Source organism: Homo sapiens, chromosome 2 (genome assembly GCF_000001405.40).
Source record: "Homo sapiens chromosome 2, GRCh38.p14 Primary Assembly".
Lineage (NCBI taxonomy): Eukaryota > Metazoa > Chordata > Mammalia > Primates > Hominidae > Homo > Homo sapiens.
The window spans coordinates 111,097,392-111,118,841 of NC_000002.12; the positions used below are offsets into that span (position 1 = coordinate 111,097,392).

At 41.6% G+C, this 21,450-nt stretch overlaps 1 protein-coding gene and 1 long non-coding RNA gene across 21 annotated transcripts in view, besides 1 other annotated feature; one reads left to right on the forward strand and one right to left on the reverse strand.

The window, feature by feature from the left end:
• Positions 1–21,157, forward strand: part of ACOXL (acyl-CoA oxidase like) — a 385,976-nt gene extending 364,819 nt beyond the window's left edge. For 14 of the 20 annotated variants that reach the window (NM_001437600.1, XM_011511414.4, NM_001142807.4 and 11 more), the window contains one exon: positions 20,225–21,157. In NM_001437600.1, coding sequence (NP_001424529.1) covers positions 20,225–20,425 — 201 coding nt within the window. In that variant the 3' untranslated portion in view covers positions 20,426–21,157. Of the gene's footprint in view, positions 1–6,661; positions 8,577–16,716 lie in introns of those variants that run through there. The other 6 variants (XM_011511415.3, XM_011511421.3, XM_047444906.1 and 3 more) reach the window with 4 other exon arrangements.
• Positions 950–18,197, reverse strand: ACOXL-AS1 (ACOXL antisense RNA 1). The gene is made up of 4 exons (NR_122074.1): positions 18,129–18,197; positions 16,748–16,907; positions 4,506–4,685; positions 950–3,752 (listed from the first exon to the last, which is right to left on the reverse strand). It is a non-coding gene; the product is annotated as an ACOXL antisense RNA 1 (long non-coding RNA).
• Positions 3,712–3,761: an enhancer, noted in NCBI's record as "active region_16380". NCBI's record gives its function as "activates an Ori minimal core promoter by ATAC-STARR-seq in GM12878 lymphoblastoid cells {active_cell/tissue: GM12878}" and the evidence as "EXISTENCE:reporter gene assay evidence [ECO:0000049][PMID:35858748]".

Consider the following 21,450-nt stretch of genomic DNA (forward strand, 5'->3'; position numbering starts at 1 on the left):
CTAGCAAAAACTCCTATCTCTCTGACTGCAAACATTTTCATTTATTTTATCTGGATAAAAATCACCATCAGAACAACAACCACATCCAGCACCCAGTTCTTGATTTCTAGCACCGTCCTCCAATAAAAGGAACCAGGGTCCTTGGAGAAATAGCTGATTTTAGGGCTGGCCAGTGAATGCACAAGATGAGCCTGGAGCATGTTCTGGTGTCAGAAAGTAAGAAAGTCCTTGAAAAACAAACAAACAAAAGCTTGTGATGATGGCAGTATGTTCCAGGGACACAGGAAGGAGCCAACTGAGAGAGCTCCTTCCCAGTGACCAAGGCTGGAACAATTTGAGCAACAAAAATAATGTAATATTGGGTTATAACTCCAAGTATATAGTAATTAAGCCCAAGTCCATAATGATATGAATAAATGATTAAGCAAATAAATAAATGGGGGAAAGACACATCTTCCTTGCAGAAGAATCCCAAATAATATTTGTAGGTATTCCTCCCTCCAGGAGGTAAAGCTTAATTCCCCTTCTCTTTAGTGTGGGTTGGACTTTAGCAACTTGCTTTTATTTTAAAGAATAGATTATGGAAGAGAGAAATACTTATTTTACAATGGAGAAACCTGGTAGATCCTAACCAAGTGATTAAGGTACATATCAAATGATTAAGGTACATATCACCAGTGATAACATCATGTTGATAGCATGTACTCTGTGGTGTGATATGATGAAAAGAACACTTCCCTCTTCCCTGAAACCCATAACCCAAATCTAAGCGTGAGAAAACACATCAGACAAAACAAAATGGAGGAACGGTCTACAATTCAGGGGTGTCTAATCTTTTGGCCTCCCTGGGCCACATTGGAAGAAGAGTTGTCTTGGGCCCCACATAAAATACACTAACACTAGTGACAGCTGACGAGCTAAAAAAAACAAAAATCACAAAAACATCTCATAATGTTTTTTAAAAAGTTTATGAATTTGTACTGGGCCACATTCAAAGTTATCCTGGGCCTCATGTGGCCCATGGGCTGTGGATTTGCCAAGCTTGTCCATAATACCTGCCTAGTACCCATTAAAACTGACGATGCATGGAAGACGAGAAAAGACTGAAGCCATCACAGAGCAGAAGAGACTCAGGAGATATGGTAACTAAATACAATGCAGTATCATGTATTGAATCCTGGGACAGAAGAACATGAGTAGAAAAACTGGTAAAATCTGAATAAAGTCTATAGTTATTAGTAATGCATTAATATTGGTTTCCTAGTTTTTACAATGAGCCATAGTTATGGGGAAACTGGGTGAAGGGCAAATGAGAACTCTTGTTATCTTTGAAACTTTTCTGTAAATTTGAAAGTATTCCAAAATAAAAAGTTTACTAAAAAAACAAAAAGTTAGCATAGGGAGATAGCAATCAGCCTAAACTGTTTCTAAATAAATAAAACTTTCCAGAACACCCAGGACTTATACCGACGCTCCAGTCTGATGGAAATTAGAAATGCATATATATACTTAAAAATTATCTCATTTCATTCTCATTAAGACCTTCAAGGAAAGTAAGGCTAATATAATCCCCATTCAACAAATGAGTAAAACTAAGAAAGAGAGACATTAAATGACTGTCGAAGATTCTAGCTGAACACAGAAACCAGAGCTCCGAATCCCAAATGGAGGTGGGTTAAGCTCCAGGCATCACCCATTTGTAGTCCTCCTTGTTCCTTTGGCACACTCTAGGGCACTAGATGCCCTGAGGAGTTCATATGCTTCTCCAAAGCAGGCAAAATCCATCCACATATTCAGAAGGCAGTGCAAGTGCCCAGTTGTTCAACCGAGGCCCCACAAGAGAAGGAGTTGGGTTGAGGTTTATTTTTAAAATTCCAATCCCCCACAGTCCTTCAAATCAGATAACTAATGCCTATTCTTTTGTCTGGAACTTCAGTGTTGTCAGAGCAGGTCCATATTCATTCTTATATCATCCTCACAAGCACCCTTTAGTGTGAACAGCTGTTACTCCCCTGTAGGCACAGAGAAACTGAGGTTGACTTGCTGCTCAGTGAGCAAATAGTAAGCTGGGGCTTCTATGGCAGATTTCGGACTCCACTCCACTGCTGTCCTAGTGTCTCCCTAGCTGGGGAGGAGGATGAGCTGCTCCCCCTTGCTGCCCTCTCTGTGAGACCTTGGCTCGAAGGCCAGTGGTGGTGCCCCCGGGGCTCCATCCTAACAAGGTCTCTAAGTACACAAGATTCCTGTGTCCTGGCCATTAAGCATTTTTGCAGGGGTATGTAGAGAACAATTGTGTTCCTTGTTCTTGGAAAATTTAGTGTCCAGGCATTATCCTGTTTCAGTCTTCATTAACCCAGACATTTGTATTTATTTTGCTTCAGATAATTATCAGCATTAGTGAGTAGCTATCAGCTGAGACTCATTTTAAGGAAGAAAGCCTTTCAAAATGACCCAACAGTTAACAATTGTATATCTCCATTAAAACTGACTTCATTTTGCTTTTTAAAAAATAAAGCAAAGATCTCAGCTTCTTAAAGTGGAGAATTTTAATGCAAATGGCTATTTGACTGATAATCTCTTACTTTATTTTACACCGTGCCTTGAAGTTGACTGAAGTTACAGTAGCCTTATTTTGTTCCCTGAACTCCTGGACACAGCTGTCCTGCTCTGCCAGTGCCTGCCTGCATTGGGACGTATGGAAAAGAACAAGTACTTGTGAACATGTGGTCAGCCCATGCTGAGAAATCAATGCAGGAGGAAGCTTTTCAGTCTACCTGTGTTGAGAGAACCACAGCCCAGCTGTGGGTTGCAGATCAAAAAAGGACCCTATTCAGTGTGGTGAAAATAATACTTAGCAAAATGTTGAATCAGGTTCTATTTCCTGCCATGAGCTCAAATAATGGAATCATGTGAGCATGCAGGTGATGAAGGACCCACAGGGAAGTGAGGCAGGCTGTGTAACCCACGCACAGCAGGGAGGAAGGCCACTCCACCTCCCAGGGAACGTAGTGAATTGCCTGTAAAATTAGCAGTATTGAAAAACCAAAAACTCGTTCACTAAGAGAGAAAATAAATACTGATTGTAACCATGTCCAAGAAATCTGGACACCTCCCCCATATTTGATCATATTTACACCCATAGCTGCTACTCTCACCCACATGTTGCCTTCACGTCCTATTTGAGTCATGACTGTCAACTCTGAGATGCATCGTTTCTGTTGGCACCTTAGTGCACCTGAGGCTTTCTCCATGCCTCTAGGGCTGTTTTCATTTTGGTGTCCCCCTGATTTGCTAGGTGAAGCCCAGATTCACCAGCACAAGCACAAATCCTGTTTTGCACCCTTGCTGGGAAGTGGACACAGGAGCAGTTGCATCAGCCAGCAGCCTTCGTCTGCCCTACTGAAAGGAGCCATTCGTTTCCTCCCTGAGTGAGGGAGAGCTGCTCAGGAGCCCAGCTGCAATAAGGAGGCCAAGGAGGGCCTGCTGATGACATGTGATTGAGATTCTGACTGTATCTGCTCAAGTCTAAAATGACCACTAGGGTTGGGTTTTAGTTTCAGTTCAGTCAATCAAACCGTTGAATCATAGAGGAAGAAGAGCATTCAAGCCTGTTGATTGATGAGTCATTCAAGTAGTTCTGAGTAGACATTGCCAATGGCATCTTGCTTTATTCTCAGGAGATGTGGCTTGGAGGAAGAATGCGCAGAAGTGTGGTAGACACCAGGCCCCCAAGCCAGGATGCTGCTTGGCTCCTTTGAACGTAGAAGATGGATTACACTCGTTTACTATTTTAATCTAAGCATAAAGTATAAATGCAGTCACTGCTTAGTGTCACAAAGGCTTGTGATTAAAGAACACACAAAAAAAAATTAGGAGAGAGTTCTAAGCTGGAAAGATGGTGCTGGGATATAGCCCTTCTCAAATCTGAACTTCAAGAAAAACAGATAGCCCACACCCATACCCGCCGGGCTTAGAAACAGTACATGTGCCCTGAACTTCCTACAAATGCGGTGTTGGTTGTTTTCCATGCCACATTGAATGTTTCTTTTTAATGAACACTCAGATTTCCCATCCTTCTATTTCTCATTCCCCAGACCACCTGGATCAAGAGACACATTCAGACGCTAGAATTGAATGTAACATGAACTAAGGTTTAGGCACAGCATATTGAAAGCATTCATTGGAGTGGGGAAGAGAGATGGGGTTTCTCGGTCACTCACCTCCTACCCATAGACTTCTGTTTTTCTCTGTAATGAATTTGAGGGAAAAAAAAAAAAAACTGTTTCCCTCACCTCCACTCCATTCACCCCACCCACCCCATCCAGTAAGGCCCATCTGATTTGGCTTCAAGGCAGTGAGAACCCCTGGCTGTGTCATCCTGACTGAAGCTGGCATGAGGTGTAAGCACAGGGACCTACTCTGCCAGGGTGGGAAGGGACAGCCCCTGGCTGTGGTCAGTGAGTTGAGGATGTTATTGAAATGACATTGAAATGGAGTGATCATACCGGAAATGCAACTGGGAGTCACATTTTTAAATCCTCTTTGATTTGAAAGCATCCCCAGAACTGGTTTTAACCTAGCTTCACATCTGTAGGACTCCTGGTTCACCACCTCTTGGAGACAGCAGGGACCAACTAGAATGTGGGTGTCTCCTGTTCCACCTTCTCCTCCCAGTGCAAAAGACTCTAAAACAGGGAAATAGGGAAAATATGAGTACAAACAGTGTCCTGCTAAGAGACGAGAAAATCTCTCTTTTCCCTTCCCCCTTCCATCTGCTCCTGACCTTGCATGCTCCTCAGTGGTATAAAATACATTGCTGAACCTATAAATGCAGACCATTCAAGTCAGGTTAAGAAAATCTAAATGGGATTTGGTTTCTTCAGTTTGGCCAGTAAAAGGGACCCTGAGGTCACCCTGCTGCAATCCCTGTTTCCTCATGGCAGCCACCTGGTCCACTCTCATGCTATGCCTCACAGTACAGCTTTGTGTATCTGGAGACTGAGCTGGGATCATTCTATTTTCTTCATTCAAGGGTAACTAATAAGCACAAGAGAGGGCAAATTGTTTTGCTGAGCTCCAGCCTCTGAGTTTCTCTGGCAGCTGCATTGTCCTGGTCTCCTTGGGGAGATGCTTAAAGTGCTGGGAAATTGGGTGCCCTTCTCCGTGAGTGTCTTTGGGTTCATACCCTCGGTCCAGGATGCACAGTGAGAATTTCTGACTGGTGAAACTTGTACCTAAGAATAGCCATGTTGCACAAAAAAAAAAGACCTCTCAGGAGATGAGACTCATCTGAGTCCAATCAGACTCCAGTAATGCAGTTAAGGATAGTGGATTTTATTATGATTCCAGGGAATTTAAATAAATTACTGAACTTGAAACAGAAATGACCCCAGTATATCCATTTTTGTATAAATTGATATTCTAGCTAGAAATCAATAATTTTTATAGTGTAAAATGTGTTTGTAGTTGCTTTTCTTTTTTCTGATGGTAAGTTACCTTTTCCCTTTGATTTTACAGACGAGACATTGCTGTGGCCTGTTCCATTTCACTTCTCTTCCCTTCTCTGGGGGACTCAAAGTGTTTGGTACTTAGTAACCATTAAAAGATAGCACATAGGGGCCAAGCGCTGTGGCTCACGCCTGTAATCCCAGCCCTTTGGGAGGCTGAGGAGGGCGGATCACTTGAGGCCAGGAGTTCAAGACCAGCCTGGCCAACATGGTAAAACCCCATCTCTACTGAAGAAAACATGAAAAATTAGCCAGGCGTGGTGGCATGCGCCTGTAATCCCAGTTACTAGGGAGGCTGAGGCATGAGAATCACTTGAACCTGGGAAATGGGGGTTGCAGTGAGCCAAGATTGTGCCACTGCACTCCAGCCTGGGAGACAGAGCTAGACTGTGTCTCAAAAAAAATTAAAAAATAAATAAATAAAATAAAAATAAAAAAGCATGTAGGGGTGACCGCATTTTAAGACACAGAGAAGGGACAGGACTTAACTTGTGAGAGCCGATACATCTGTGGAAGGAAATTAAGGACTCTTTGCATCTTCCTTTCCTGGACAGCTAGTCATTCACATCACAGATTGTGGCCTTGAACCGCTAGGCATTGATTCCATTAACCTAATTGGCTATTGCTGAGACAACATAAGTAAAAATGTCCAGTTCAGGTGTATGACTTTTTCGGGACTTTGGGGATGCAGGTGTCCTATTAATCTGCATAACGGTTCCATGAGTGAGTTCCTTTTGTGATAATTTAGCAAGCTGCTATATACCTATTATGCTTCACCTAAAAAGCATAAAAGGAAACAAAAAATAATCTCCTGGTGCTTATATAAAACATTTTTGTTAAAATCTAACTTGAAAGTTATTCTGTGATTTTTTTTTTAATGAAGGTCTTTTTTAAGAGAACCATAAATTCACAATAATGCAGAGATTTCATGTCCCTTTACTTAGTTTCCCCCATTGGCAACATCTTGTACAACTATAGCTTTACAATATCACACCCAGGATTTTGATACAATGACATTGATACAGTGAAGATACAGAGCATTTTTGTCACCACTTGTGGCTCCTATAGCCACACCCTCTTCCCTTCCTTTACCCTCTCTTTAATCCCAGGTGACTACTAAGCTGTTCTCCATGTTTATAATTTTGTCATTTCAGGAACGTTGTATAAATGAAATCACATAATATGCAACCTTTGGAATTGGCTTTTTTCACCGAGCATAATTTTCTGAAGATTCATCCAGGTGGTCGCACATATCAATGGTCTCTTCCTTTTTATCGCTAAGTAGTATTCCACACTACACATGGACTGCAGTTTGTTGAACCACTCACACATTGAAGGATATGTGGATTGTTTTCAGCTTCTGACATTTAGGAATAGAATAAATAAAATAAATTTCATTTTCCCATACAGGATTTTGTGTGAATATAGGTTTTAATTTCTCTGTAGTAGATGTTCAGGGGTTCCATTGCTGGGTCGCACGGTAGGTGCATGTTGACATTTTTAAGAAATTACCAAACTTTTTTTTAGAGTGGCTGTAACATTTTACATTCCCACAATCAGTGTAGAAGTGATCCAGTCTCTTCACATCCTCACTAGCATTGGGTGTTGTCATTACTTTCTATGTTAACCATTCTGATATGTATGTAGTATATTTCATTGTAGCTTTAGTTTGCATTTACTTAATGGCTAATGATGTTGAGTATCTTTTCATATGCTTATTTGCCATCTGTATGTTCTCTTTGTTGAAAAGTTTGTTCACTTCATTTGCCCATTTCTAATTGGATTGTTATTTTTTTAAACTGTTTATATGTTCTAGATACTAGTCCTTTGTCAGATATGTAGCTTGCAAATATTTTCTCCTAATTTATAGCTTGCCTTCTTACTCTTTTAATATGGTCTTCAATAGAGCAAAAGTTTTTAATTTAATAAAGTCTAATTTATCCATTTTTCCTTTTATGGACTGTAATGTACTTTTACTGTCAAGTCTAAAAACTTTTCACCTATTCCTAGATCCTGAAGGTATTATCCTATGGGCTTTATCTAAAAATTTTATACTTTTACATTTTTCATTGAGCCATGATCCATTTTTAGTTACTTTTTATATAAGGTAGGAAACTTAGGTTGAGATTCCTTTTTGCTTGTTGGTTTTTTTGTGTACCAATGTCCAATTGCTCCAATACTAGTAGTTGAAAAGGCTATATTTCCCATGTTAAATTGCCTTAACACCTTTAAAAATTAGTTGGTCGTATTTGTATGGTTCTATTTCTGCATTTTCCTACTTTATCTATGCATCTGTGTGTCTATCCCTTCACCAATACCACATGGTCTTAATTAATATAGTTACATAAGTCTTAAAATATGGTAGTTTGATTCCACCTCTTTATTATTTTACAAAATCACTTTAGCTATTCTAATTCCTTTGCCTTTTTATAGAAATTTTAGGATAATCTTGCCTATATTTACAACAAATCTTTCTGGGATTTTGATAGGTATTGCATTAAACCTGTAAGTTAATTTGAGGAGAAATTTCATCTTACTGTGCTGAATCTTCCAGTCTCTGAATATGGTATGTCTCTCTACTTATAGAGATCTACACTGATTTATTTCGTCAGCATTTTACTGTGTTCAGCACACAAGTCCTAGTCTTCTACATGCTTTGTTGGATTACATCTATGATTGTAAATGGTATTGCATATTTAATTTTAGTGTCTGCATATCCATTACTATTATATGGAAATAAAACTATTTTTATATGTTTTATATATTTTATATGTTTTATCAACATATATTTTATATGTTATCTTTTATCCTACGATCTTGCTCAACTTGTTGAATCTAGAAGTTCTTATAGATTCCTTGGAATTTGCCATATAGACAAACATGTTATCTGCAAATAGAGACAGTATTTCACTGTCTGTGTTGACAATTCTTTTCTTTTAGCACCTGAACACATTTCTGGCTTTCATAGTTTCTAATGAAAATCTGCTGCCAATTGTTTTTTTCTCCCTTGTAAGTAAAATGTCATTTCTCTTTCTCTGCTTTTAAGATTAAAAACTATTTATGATGCTATTTATGATGTGCCTTTGAATAAATTTCTTTGGATTTATGCTGTTTGGGGTGGGCTCAGCTTCGTGAATTTGTTGCTTTATCTCTTTTGCCAAATCTGGGGAGTTTTCAGCCAATTTTTCAAGTACTTTTCTGCCCAGCCCACTTCCTCTTCTCTTTTCAGAACACTGATGACACTTAGGTTAAATCATTTTTTAAAAATAATTACACACGTTCCTGACCCTCTGTTCATTATATATTCAGTCCATTTTCTGTCTATTATTGAGGTTCAGTAATTTTATTGTGCCATCTTTCAGTTCACCAATTCCTTCCACTGTCCCCTCCATTTTGCTGTCAAAACCATCCACTGAGTTTTTAATTTGGGTCATTGTACTTTTCAGTTCTATAATTTCTATTTGGGCTCCTTTGTATCTACTTTTCCATTGCTAAGATTTTCTGTTTCTTTGCTGAAACTTTTTTTTTTCATTGATTTCAAGTGTGTTTATAATTGCTCATTGAAACAGTTTTATAATGACTGCTTTAAAAACTTTGTCAGATAATCCCACTATCTCTGTCATGTTGGCATTGACATCTATTGATTGTCTTTTTTCACCCAGTTTGACATCTTCCTGGTTCTTGATAGGAAGTGACTTTTGATCGAAACATGAACATCTTGGCTATTAAATTATAAAACTCTGGATCTTACTTAAATCTTCTGTTTTAGCTGGTTTCCTCTAACACTGTTCCAGTGGGGAAAAGGGGGTGCATCGCCTCATTACTGCCTTATAGGGATAGTAGTCTAGGTTCTCTACTTAGTCTCTGTTGACATCCAAAGGGCTGGGGACTCCTTGTTATTTCTGGGTGGAAGTGGGAGTTTTAGTTACTAACTAGGCCTCCACTGACATCTCACTGATGGGGAGGGCAGGAAAGCCACATTACGGTTCCCTAAAGGGCCTTTACTCACACTGGCAGTGACTCTGTTACCGCCATGTGATGACTAAGTCTTGACTCCCACTAGGCCTTCTCTGACAGCACCCCATCTGGTAAAAGGAAGGATGCCTCTCTACTTCCAGGTTGAGGTGGAGGTACCAGCTCCCCATGTGGTCTCCGCTGACACCATGGTGGGTACCTCACTATAGCGTGTTGTGGCTGTAAGAGCAAGCTCCCCCATTTAGCCTTTAGAACTATGGCAGAGGTTGGGGGCATGGAATGCACAGTTTGTTCAAACTAGGCTTTTGTTAGGATTTTTGTGTACGTCTGTTGGTGGTTCCAGGTTGCCAGCTTTTTTTAGCTCCAGTGTGGGATACATGAGGCAAAAAGAAAATGCAAGGAATTCACCACTGTGTCATTCCTTGAATCCTATGCTTCCTAGATAGCCTGATTTCTCTTCACCTCTCAGAATCTTCTAAGATTTGTTTTACATATAATATCCAAGGATTCAGTTGTACTTAGTAGGAGAAATAGGGAAAAACATATCCATCTTCTTAGAAGTGACTTTAACTATAGTTTTTTTTGTTGTTGTTGTTGTTGGTTTTTTTGGTTTTTGTTGTTGTTGTTTTTTGAGATGGAGTTTTTGCTCTTGTTGCCCAGGCTGGAGTGCAATGGCACGATCTCGGCTTACCACAACCTCTGCCTCCTGGATTCAAGTGATTCTCTTGCCTCAGTCTCCCAAGTAGCTGGGATTACAGGCATGTGCCTCCACGCCCAGCTAATTTTGTATTTTTAGTAGAGACAGGGTTTCTCCATGTTGGTCACGCTGGTCTTGAACTCCCGATCTCATGTGATCTGCCCGCCTTGGCTTCCCAAAGTGTTAGGATTACAGGCGTGAGTCACCACGCCCGGCCTTTGACTACAGTTTTTGAGAAGAGAAAATGGTATCTGAAAGGACTGGAGAGCTTTCTGAGTTCGTTTGGGCCCAGATCAGTGTTCTCCATGGAACTTCAATTTTTTGAGCCCCATTTGATTAGAACCACCCCAATCCCTCTGTCCTCATAAGAAGTCTGCCTTTAACTGTTTCTTCCAGCAGCAGTACTTACTTGACTTTATGTAGACAATCCTTTCTAATCTTTGCTGGCTTGAGAACCATTCAATCTTGATTCCTATGAGTCTAAGCCAGTAATTTTCCTAGGGAAAGAGTTGACCTTTCTATGGCAAAATTAGGGAAATAAAATGTATCGGGTTTTTCATAATGCAAGATAAGTTTTCTTTAAGAGATTATATTATTATATTCTCCCTATATTTTAGGTGCTGAAAGTTACCCTTTAAATAAAATAATAATCATAGACAGTTCTTTTTTGTTATCCTTACTTGACAAAAGAGATAAGTTGGCAATCTCATGTTGGTTCCCCCCAAATTGCTTTGTTTCCCTTTATTTTTCTTTTAATTTTAAAAATAGAGGTCTATTTATATACATTGAAGTGCATGAATCTTTTTTTTTTTTTTTTTTTTTTTGGAGACAGAGTTTCACTCTTGCTGCCGAGGCTGGAGTGCAATGGCACAATCTTGGCTCACCTCAACCTCTGCCTCCCAGGTTCAAGCGATTCTCCTGCCTCAGCCTCCCAAGTAGCGAGGATTACAGGCATGTGCCACCACGCCTGGCTAATTTTTGTATTTTTAGTAGAGACAGGGTTTCTCCATATTGGTCAGGCTGGTCTCGTCCCGACCTCAGGTGATACCGCCCGCCTTGGCCTTCCAAAGTGCTGGGATTACTGGCGTGAGCCACCATGCCCGGCCGAAGCGCACAAATCTTAATGGTGCAGTTCAGCGAGTTTTGACAAATAGCAGACTGTATAATGCAGATCTCAGTCATGTTAAAGAAAGTGTCCATCACCCAATAAATTTCTCTCAGACACTTTTCCATCAATTCCTCACCCTGACCCCTGAGTTTCTAACTTTATTATAAGAGCTCAGTTTGCCTGCTCCAGAGCTTCGTAGGAATGGAAGCAGATAGATGTAGGTTTCTTTTGCTCAGTATAATGTTTCTGAGATATTTGATGATTCATTCCTTTTTTAAATTAATTTGTTTATTTTTGCTGAGTAGTATTTCATTGTATCGGCTCAGCCCATCTGTCCTCCCAAATGCTCATCTCTCTAGAACTCACCTAATCAGAGTCTCCAGGAACTGGCCTTGTTACCTCCAGCTGACCTCAGCTGCATCATTCCATAGGTATTAAGGTGCAGTGTTACTTATACTCATCTGTGGGAAGAAAAAATAACTGAAGACTTAAGACTCACTTCTTTTTTCTTTCATTAACACAGTTTGTATTGAAAAAAATGTTTATTCTCCTATTAATGGACATTTAAGGTGTTTATGGACTGATGTTATGAATAAGATTGTCAGGAATATTTTTGTGGAAGATGTTTTATTATATCAAATTTAGAAACATTTCAACCATTACATCTTCAAGTATTTTATGTCTCATTCTTTCTGACTTCTGAGATTCCAATGGCATGTATGTTGGATTGCCAATATATTCCCACATGGTACTGATGGCCTGTTCATTTTTTTTTCTCTTTGCCCCATTTGGAATAATTTCTATGAATCTGTTTTCAAGATTATTGATTTTTGTTCCGCAATACTCACTCTGCTGTTAAACTCATTAGTGAATTTTTATCTCAAATATCCCATTTTTTCAGATCTAGAATTTTCCTTTCATTCTTTCTTAGGAGTTACATTTATCTCAGAAAATATCCCATATTAATCTATTATATCCATTTTTCTCCTTCTATTTTTTTTTTTTTTTTTTTTTTTTTGAGACAGAGTCTCGCTCTTTCACCCAGGCTGGAGTGCAGTGGCATGATCTTGGCTCACTGCAACTTCTGCCTCCCAGGTTCAAGCAATTCTTGTGTCTCAGCCTCCCAAGTAGCTGGGATTACAGACATGCACCACCATGCCTGGCTAATTTTTGTATTTTTAGTAGAGACAGGGTTTCACTATGTTGGCCAGGCTGGTCTCGAACTCCCGGCTTCAAGCAATCCACCCGCCTCAGCTTCCCAAAGTGTGGAATTACAAGCATGAGCCACCGTGCCTGGCCTTCTCCTTGTAAATTCTTGAACACATTTATAATAGTTGTTTTTAAATCTTTGTCCATTAATTCCGGTAACTGGTCATCTCTAAGTCGGCTACTGATTGTGCTTTCTTTAGATTTGGGGTCACATTTTCCTGCTTCTTTGCAGGTCTAATAACTTATTATTGTACTTCAAACATTGTCTATAACAGATTTTACTTTCTTTTGTTTATTTTCCTTTCTTTTGTCTGGTGGTTAGGGTCAGGGTCTAGTCATTAAGATTCCTCCTAGAGTCAGGTTGAGCAGGAGCTGCTTTACTTAGACTGAGTTCACTGTGCTTAGTCCACCCACCCCATCACACTACCGTCTTTATTCTTTCAGAGTTTGAGCTGTGAAAATGGTGAACTACAGTTTCAGATATCTTTGATTCACCTTTGGGTTGAACTCCAGCGCAGCTCCAAAGTCTATGCACCACAAGGATACATGGGACCATGCAAATTTCCTCTGCTTTTCAGTTTCCATGAACTGCTGCTTTCATAGCAAAATTCTGGGTTGAGGGTAAGAATCGCTAGGCCAAGTGTTTGTTTCTGTGCTAGGAGTTCTTCCCAATTCCAGTCCATCTGGCCATTTTTCTCATCCCTTCAAAGTCTCTCCATCTCTGTTAGGCCCAGTCTTCTGTCCACCTGTCCCCAAAACAGGCACCTACCCCATGTGTGGAAGCTTCTGTGGATGTTGGCTTACCAAGAAAGAGCTCATCTCTCTGAAATCACTTCATTAACGTTACTTTCTTATGTATAGTGCTTTTCAGTAGCCCCATAAAACATCTGATTTTTACTTTGTTCAGATTCTTCAGTTTGTAACCATGGAGCAAAATTCTCTTGAATCTATCTACATTTTAACTAGGAGCCCTCCCAGTTGATTTTCAGATCATTTGGGACAATGAAGTTGAATATTCCAGGACCCACTTACACAGAATTTCTCCATAATAACTTTGGACTCTTATTGTATTTTTAGTTTTGGCAGTTTGTGGGGATTTTGCCTCTTGAAAATTTTTGACTGAAGATTATTCCTTCTTGAGTATGTTTGCATTTCTTTGGGTTTGTACTTACAAAACTAAACTATCAGTTGATTAAGTTTTTTTAATTTATTTTATTTATTTATTTTTTTTAAACAGGATCTCACTCTGTCACCCAGGTTGGAGTGCAGTGGCATGATCTTGGCTTTCTGCAACCTCCACCTCCTGGGCTCAAGCAATCCACCCACGTCAGCCTCCCGCATAGCTAGGACTATAGGCATGAGCCACCACTCTCGGCTAATTTTTGTATTTTTTGTAGAGATGGGGTTTCACCATGTTGCCCAGACTTGTCTGGAACTCCTGAGCTCAAGCAATCCACCCACCTCGGCCTCCCAAAATGCTGAAATTACAGGCATGAGCCACTGTGATGCCATATTTTTTATATGAGAAGTGTGCAGCTAATACTCCAGCTTTATTACAACTACCTAATTGAATATTCTTTCTTGTTTCATGTAAATGCCTTTGTCTGTAGAAAATGCTACTATGAGCAGCATTGTGGTTACTTTAATCCCATTGCCAAAACATTTATATGGTTTCCTGTATTCTAAAGGGAAAGGTATATGCACTTGTCTTCTTTTTAAACTTTTCCTCTTATGAATCAGTAGCAGTATGAATAAATGTCAGAAGTTCTTATTAAGTGGTTAATGTTGATGCCTCTGTCTCAGCATTCTTGTTTTAGGTAATGATGATTAAGCAAACTTTGTCATGGAAATACCAGAGTTAGAAAGAAATTGTATTTATTACTAACTAGAGAACCCATGATAATAACAATAATATTTATAAATAATCAACCTGCGCCAAGTTTACTAAATCCTTCCATCTTAGAGATAAGGAAGGTAGTATGGCTTGGAAGTGGCAATGTCAGAGTTCAAAGCCCTTTTTCTCTACCAAAGTGGACATTGTCAAAATACTTAGTAAACAGCCAAATTGTGTACTCTTTAGTTGAAGAAAATTGCAGTAGAAAGGACATTTTAAAGGTAAATTTTCTTCAAGTTTAATTATTTAGTGAGGGTAAACAAAAGTGATTTTGTTGTTGTTTGGTAAGGAAGGCAATTTCTCTATTCTAACATTTCAGATTATGCTAAATATTGTTTATCAACTGAAGGAACAAATCAACATAAAATATAATTTAAATTGATTCAGAGAAAATATTAGCTGGAGTCCTGATTATTTAATAGACCTGTGGAATGTCATTTTATGCTAATGAAACTTGGTTGCAGAGAAAACCAATGAGAATGTATGTGTTCCTGGGACCAGGAGACGCACCAAGCTAAGGTCTGACCCTCCCTGGAGGAGCCAGCCAGTGGGCAATGAAAACAGGAATGGAGCTCCCCTTTCTAGTAGTTGTTGGGTAAATTGAGAGAAGTAGAATCACAGCACACGCTATGAGATTATGCCTCGTGTGAGTGTTTCAGGTTTATTTTTCTTTCATTGACTGCTTAGTCAGGCATAAGGACTAAGATGGGAAATTAGCTGCCACAGACCTACCATCTGATCCTTTACAGAATGTTTGTCTAAAGGGAAAGCAATTCTTCAGGATAAGTGAGCGAGGAGGAGATAAGCCAGGCCAAGGCCTCTGTGCATTCAGCGAGTTTGGAAGTCTGCAAAAAGTGAGAATAGGTGCAGGTTAACTACTTGATTGTGCCCATTTTCACCAGTCACGATTTGCCAGTCCATGTGCTGCTCTTTTGAAGGCACTTGAATTGTGTTTGACTTAAGGTGGTGATCCAAAGCAGCAGGGAGGGGCCTGTTGACCAGTGTGGAAGGGCACTCCCAATTTACTGAAGGAGAATCTGCAGAACAGAGTTGAAGCCTTGTCCTTCTGCAGGTAAAGGTCCTTCTAGGTCATCAAGCTGGACTTTTCACATGGTAGCTGGCTCTGAAGCCGATATCCTTGGCACCTTCCTCCGGTGGCAACATCATAGAGTACTCCTGGGCACCATTACTGCCCTGGTCCTCTCAGAGAATCTGAGCCAGTGTGGCTGGGCAGATCCATGTTCTCCACACTAGGCACACACAGAATACAGATTCTGACTTAGGAAGAACGTCAAGGGTCACACGTCTGCCACAGTGGTGGAGGCATTTGTCAGTGCAGCACCACATATCCTCCAGCAACTGGAAGCAGTGAGGCACTGGGGGAAAAGATGAAGGCAAAAGGGTAGACAAGGCTTTAGAAAAAAAAAGCCCTGGATTAAAACTCTAGTTGCATCAGTTACAAGTTATGTGACTTAAATTCTTTAAGCCTTGGTTTTCTCATCTGTAAAATGGGTTGATACCTGATAGAGTTGTTATGAGTACTGAATAAGACAGTGAACCTAAAGCCCTCCTCTGTAATCTGGCACACAGTAGTTGTCCAGGAAATGTCAGCATGGGGCAGAACACCGAAGACCTTGGTTACATATGTAAAGTGCCATATGTTGCCACATAGCATTGTTATAAAGATGCTGGAGATAGAGCAGACTAAGTCAAAGACAGCTAAGTAGCTCCCTTCTGTACTTCATGCCTTTACCTGCCTGGCCCTCCGGGATGGAATGTGGAAAGCATAGATACTGCACAGCAGAGATGGATCCTTGGCAAAGGCTGGAGTAACAAGCTATGAATTGTTGATTGGGGACTAGGGTTGCACGAGACAAGCATGGAATAAAGGTGGCCAGAGGCACCTGCCAGAATGCCAGTTATGTGTCACAGCAGAAGCAAAGGTGATAAATGACAGCCACAAGTAGCACAGAACCTCATTTTACCAACCACTTTAATCTTATTCCCTCATCACATCTTTTAGATTAAAAGATGTTTGTTCATTAATTAAGGTTCCCCTTCCTGTAAAGTTTCTAGCTCAAAATCTAGTTAACCTAAAATGAAGTCAACTGAAAAATAATGGACAGGAAATTACATTAATGGCTCACCAATATCTAACAATCCCTTAGAAAGTAAGAGTTGGCTGCATAGAGATTCTTTTTGGAAAGGAGGTGGAATTGATTCCTTATAGCAAGTAAGTTTATTTGTTGTTTTGCTTAGTCAGGTTAAAAATTTCTATTTCTGTGCATTAACCGGTGATAATGACTGATACTTATTCTGTGGGCAGGCAGCCTGGACAGTTCTTTGGCTAGTCTTACCTGGGATCACTCCTGTGGCTGCAGTCATCTGAGTTCAACAGGACTAGGATGTCCAAGATGGCCTCTCTCTCATATCTGGCAGTGGGTGCTGGCTGTTGGCCAAGGCACCTTGGTCCATCTCTACGTGGCCTTTTGTCCTCCAGCAGGCTAGACTGGGCTTCTGCACAGCAGGTATTCTCACGGTTATAGGAGAGTGATAATGGGGGATTCAAAGCTTCTTAAGGCCTAAACTCTGGAAATCACACAGTGACATGTTCCCCATATTCTACTGGCAAAGCAAGTCATAACTCAGCCCAGATTAAAGGGATGGAGAAAAAGACTCTACCAAGGTAGCCAGACGAAAGGGGCTAATGAAGGGACATTTCAAGTTTGGGTAAGGGATTTTTCACAAAAAACAGCATGTGGTCATCTTATGCTGAGAACAGGGGTGAGACATATGGGAAGAGGCAGGAAAACCTTCTGCATGGAGTCCTAGGAATAGCTGGGGTGTCCCTCCAAGTGTACTGGGCACTTCCCACCCTGAACATCTATTATAGGACTAACACCATGCCATGCTGGGAAAATATGGTTTGTTCAGAGGACTGCAAAGCTTAGTCACTGCCCATCCTTGGCCATCCTACTCTCCCAACTGAAATAAGGAAACTGTAGGGAGAGTCAAAAAGAGCAGAAAAATAAATTGAGTACTGCAACTAGATGGAGGTGGGAAGCCAAACTGATGTTACAATTTTTCCCTCACTCCCAAATATACATATTAATATAGTCAAACACAGTGTCATCCCTTGAGGGCTGAGTGCTTCTGCTTTCTTTAAAGCAGATATTCTCAAATTCCACTCACTGGCTATTTCCAGTGGACTGTACATTCTTATTGCTTGTAGAGCAATAGTGCCCATGTTTAGGTTTGACCTTAAAAAATGTTTTTGCAAGAACCTATAACTTGTTCATACTTTTTTATTTTTAAAGTATACCTATTCATTTGTCTTTTTCAAAAGCTGGTGAATTTTCTTTGTAAAGATATGGGTAAGCTTGAAGTACTTTGTCCAGCATAAATGGGTCATAAACTGGCAGGGCAGAGGACCCCTACACTATGTGCAATTTTTATGCTTATAGTATGGAAGCATGTTTGGTAACAAAACTAAACTTTAATAATACACTGCTTAGCCCCATATAAAAATACCCCCTGGTAATAAAAATACTGTAACTGTGTAATAATCAATGCTATATTATCTTCTCAAGTTTATTTTGTATTAAAGAGATCATATATTTTTAAAAATTTTTAAAACGCCTCAACAGCTTCACGATGTGAGACCTGTTCCTGTAGTGTGTACCATTAAACCTCTAAAGTCCAGAATTGTACCTAACACTGGGTAGGAATCCAGCATACCATTTGTGAGTGAAAGGATGGTAATTATTATTATCATCTTGACAGCCAGGAACAGAGGTGGGTGGGTACCTGGAATCAGAGTCAAACAATAACTAAGAGTCAAACAATAACTAACAGGAATGATGCCGGATCCGTCCATTGAGACAATAATCATTCTGAGGTTTCTGTTGCAGTCTAGGAAAAATGGAGAAGGCTAGAAGGAGTATTTTAAACTGCTCCAGAACTTTAGATTTAGAAAGAATCTTGGCAGTCAACTCCTCTTCACAGCCAGTTCATTTTTCTTCTCTAGGGTGCCATTGGAGGGCACACTCCCTGAACACTTATGAGTGAAGAAACCCTCCTTTTCACCAGCCATTGGGTTCCTTTTCAAGTTTATTTTTTTAAAATTTTCTTTATATTGAAATCTGCCTCATTTAATTCCTACCTCTGGCCCTACGTTCTGTTTTTGGCACCAGATAGATAAAACCCATACTCTATTTTACACTCATTCAAATCATTGTATTTCCCCCACCGGTGAATATATTACCAAAGTTGGTTGAGTTTCATAATGCAAACCCAAAGGGAAAATTATCTTGAATAATCATATGACAATATGTGGAAAGTTTAGGGGCTGTGTACGCCACCTCATGGTTTTGAACTGTGTGGTTAAAGACGTTGAGAGTTGACAGATTAGTCAGGGATTTTTCAAGAGTATTAATTACAAACTTTGAAATCTTGGTCAGTGAAAGTTCATTTTAGTGCATCTTGCAAATACGATCAAAGGTCTTTTCAGTACTGATTTGATGATGCTTAACCACAGTGTGTGAAGAATGAAGTTTTTCATTAGAAATTACTGGTGTAATAGAGCACATTTTCAGGGAAGATGTATTGTTGGACTATTACAATTCATGCTCTTCCCCCACCATATCCCTACCCTCTATATTCCCCATCCCCTATTTCCTCCACCTTCCTCCTTGGGACCTCACTGAAAACCTGAAATGCTCTGAAAACCTGAAATGGCGTTTTGGACTGCTGCAAGGGAAACTGTGATCTTAACAACATCAGTGCGGCTCAGACATGACCACCATGTGAGGGCAAAGGTGGGGCTGGTGTAAGTGATGTTGTTAAACCTGTAAAAATAAACCATGAAAACCTGGGGATTTACTGTGATTTGGGGAGTGAAACAAATTTACCACTGGCCGAAAACTTGAAAAATGGAGTACAATGTGTAGATCAGAAGAAAAGAAAGCCGTCCCTCTGCCCTTGTGTAGTTTTAGAAAAACAATCTTATTAGTTTGGTAGCTTTTTTTCCTGAAAATAAAAAAAAAAATACATTGGCACCTAAGCCATGGAAAATGAAATAAAAATACACCAGTGCAGCTTCCAAAACACTGACTTGCATCTCCCTCTCCTATCCGCCGGGAATGTCTTATCCCTGCCTTCCAGTGGCTGCCAGAACCAAGGGCATCCGCGGCGTTCCTTGGCATTGGCGTTAACAGCAGATGGATTTTCCGCAGCGGCCAGGCGGAAGATGCCTAGCATTGGTCCGCCGTCTCACTGTACTGAATTTCAAGAATCATGGCCTACTGCCAGCCAGGTCAGGACCGAAGGCGCTAGTCTGGGGAGACTGGAGCAGGTCTCTAGTGGTTCACCTGTTCGGAGGCTCTTCCTGTTCAGTTCCCTCTGCGCGCCAGAGGGTGGCACCCCAGGCACTCCAGAGGTGGAGAGGAGGGGACGACAGGGGAGGCAAAGAGAGAGGAGCGGAGGGAAGGACCAGGGAGGAAGGACCAAGGAGGGAGCTTTAATAAATTCTCAGACCTTGGTCTCGAGTTCCCGGCTAATTTGGGGGCAAAGCCGACCGACCCCACGTCCACGCCCACCCCCTTACGGGAAAAGCCGGGGTTTCCACTGGGCTAGGTGTCAGAGTTGGGAATGTCTAAAACAAAAAAGGCTTCCGAGGGTTATTCATGGCCAACAGTTTCCACAGGAGAATCCAAAGGGAAACTAGTTTCCGGGGCCGCTGTGTGTGCGGGTGCTTGGTGGGCTGAAAGCTGCTGTCACTAGATGGCTGTAAGTGTGCCAACATCTGACCTGTCCCATTGTGTTGTGTTTTGCAGTTGCTGGATTTGTGCGACTCGGTGAAGGATGATGCCCGGAGGGTGATCTCGACCTTTAACATTCCACACACCTACCTCCACGCACCAATCGCCGGAATCTCCAACCCGCGGGCCGCGTGGGCTTTCTACCCTGCACCGCTGCAGCCGCGGCCACGGGAAGAGGCGCGCTCCCGGCGGCCCAAGCTGGGAGCCAAGCTCTAACGGGTGTGGCGGGAAGTGTGGTGGCCCGCCAGCAGCTGCCACGACGCTCGCTCCACCGACGCCCAGAGCTGTGGCCGAGGCCGGGGGCTGGCACCCGCTGGGCCGCCACTCTCGGGGATTTTGGTGGCAAAGCGGAGGTCCCGCCGAGGCTGGCGAGGTGCGCGGCTGGCTGCTAGGAAAGAGATCCAGACGGTCGCCTGGTGCGCTGGATCCCTGTGCCCTTTCCCTGAAACCCAGCCTGGCCTGACTGCAACCTCTCCCAACTTCAGTGCCGGATCCCCTAGACAATCAGGGTGGGCTCCCCGCTGCGAGCGCGCCCCACAGCCGGGTGCCGCCAAAGGTCTCCTGCTGTTAGCGGTGACTCACATTCCCAGTGATTTAGAAAAACTGTGGTGCCGAGTGAAAGAAAAAAAAAAAAGCAAACACCCTTAGACAAAAGAAAAAAGCTCCACTCTTTCCGCGAGCGGGAAAAAAGGTTTGGTTCAGCAAGTGATGCTATTTCAGTGAATCAGACGCTCTGGGGCTCTGCAAGGAAACGCACGGACTGGGAGAAGGAAGTGGGAGCCTAGAGTTTTGCTCTCGGCAAAACAAGAACTCGGCTTGTCCTCCCAGGCCGGCGGTTTCCGTACGGCAAGACAAGGCGCGGAAAACATTTTTACCATCTGACGCTGTAGTCTGTCCTTTAGAAGAGAATAGGTGAAAAGTTTAATAAAGAAATTAAGCGATGTGGAAGTCGTTCCCGCTGCTTGCAGAGGGTGGGGAGGCGGGCCTGGGCAATTTCGGAACTAGGAGAGACCACGTCGGCAAAGCCTGTGGTCCCGAACAAGGGCCATGGATTTCCCATTTCTCAGATCCCGGCTGCCCGACTTCATTCTTGTTTCTTTCAGCACAAGCCATCCTCCCTTCTCCCTCCCTCCACGTCTCTTGGCAGAGACAGAAAGGGACACCGCTCTGCCCGCGTCCAGCGCGAAGGAGGTGACCTAAAACCCATGGGCCCTTCTCACACTGCGTTCTCTGCGCTCCGG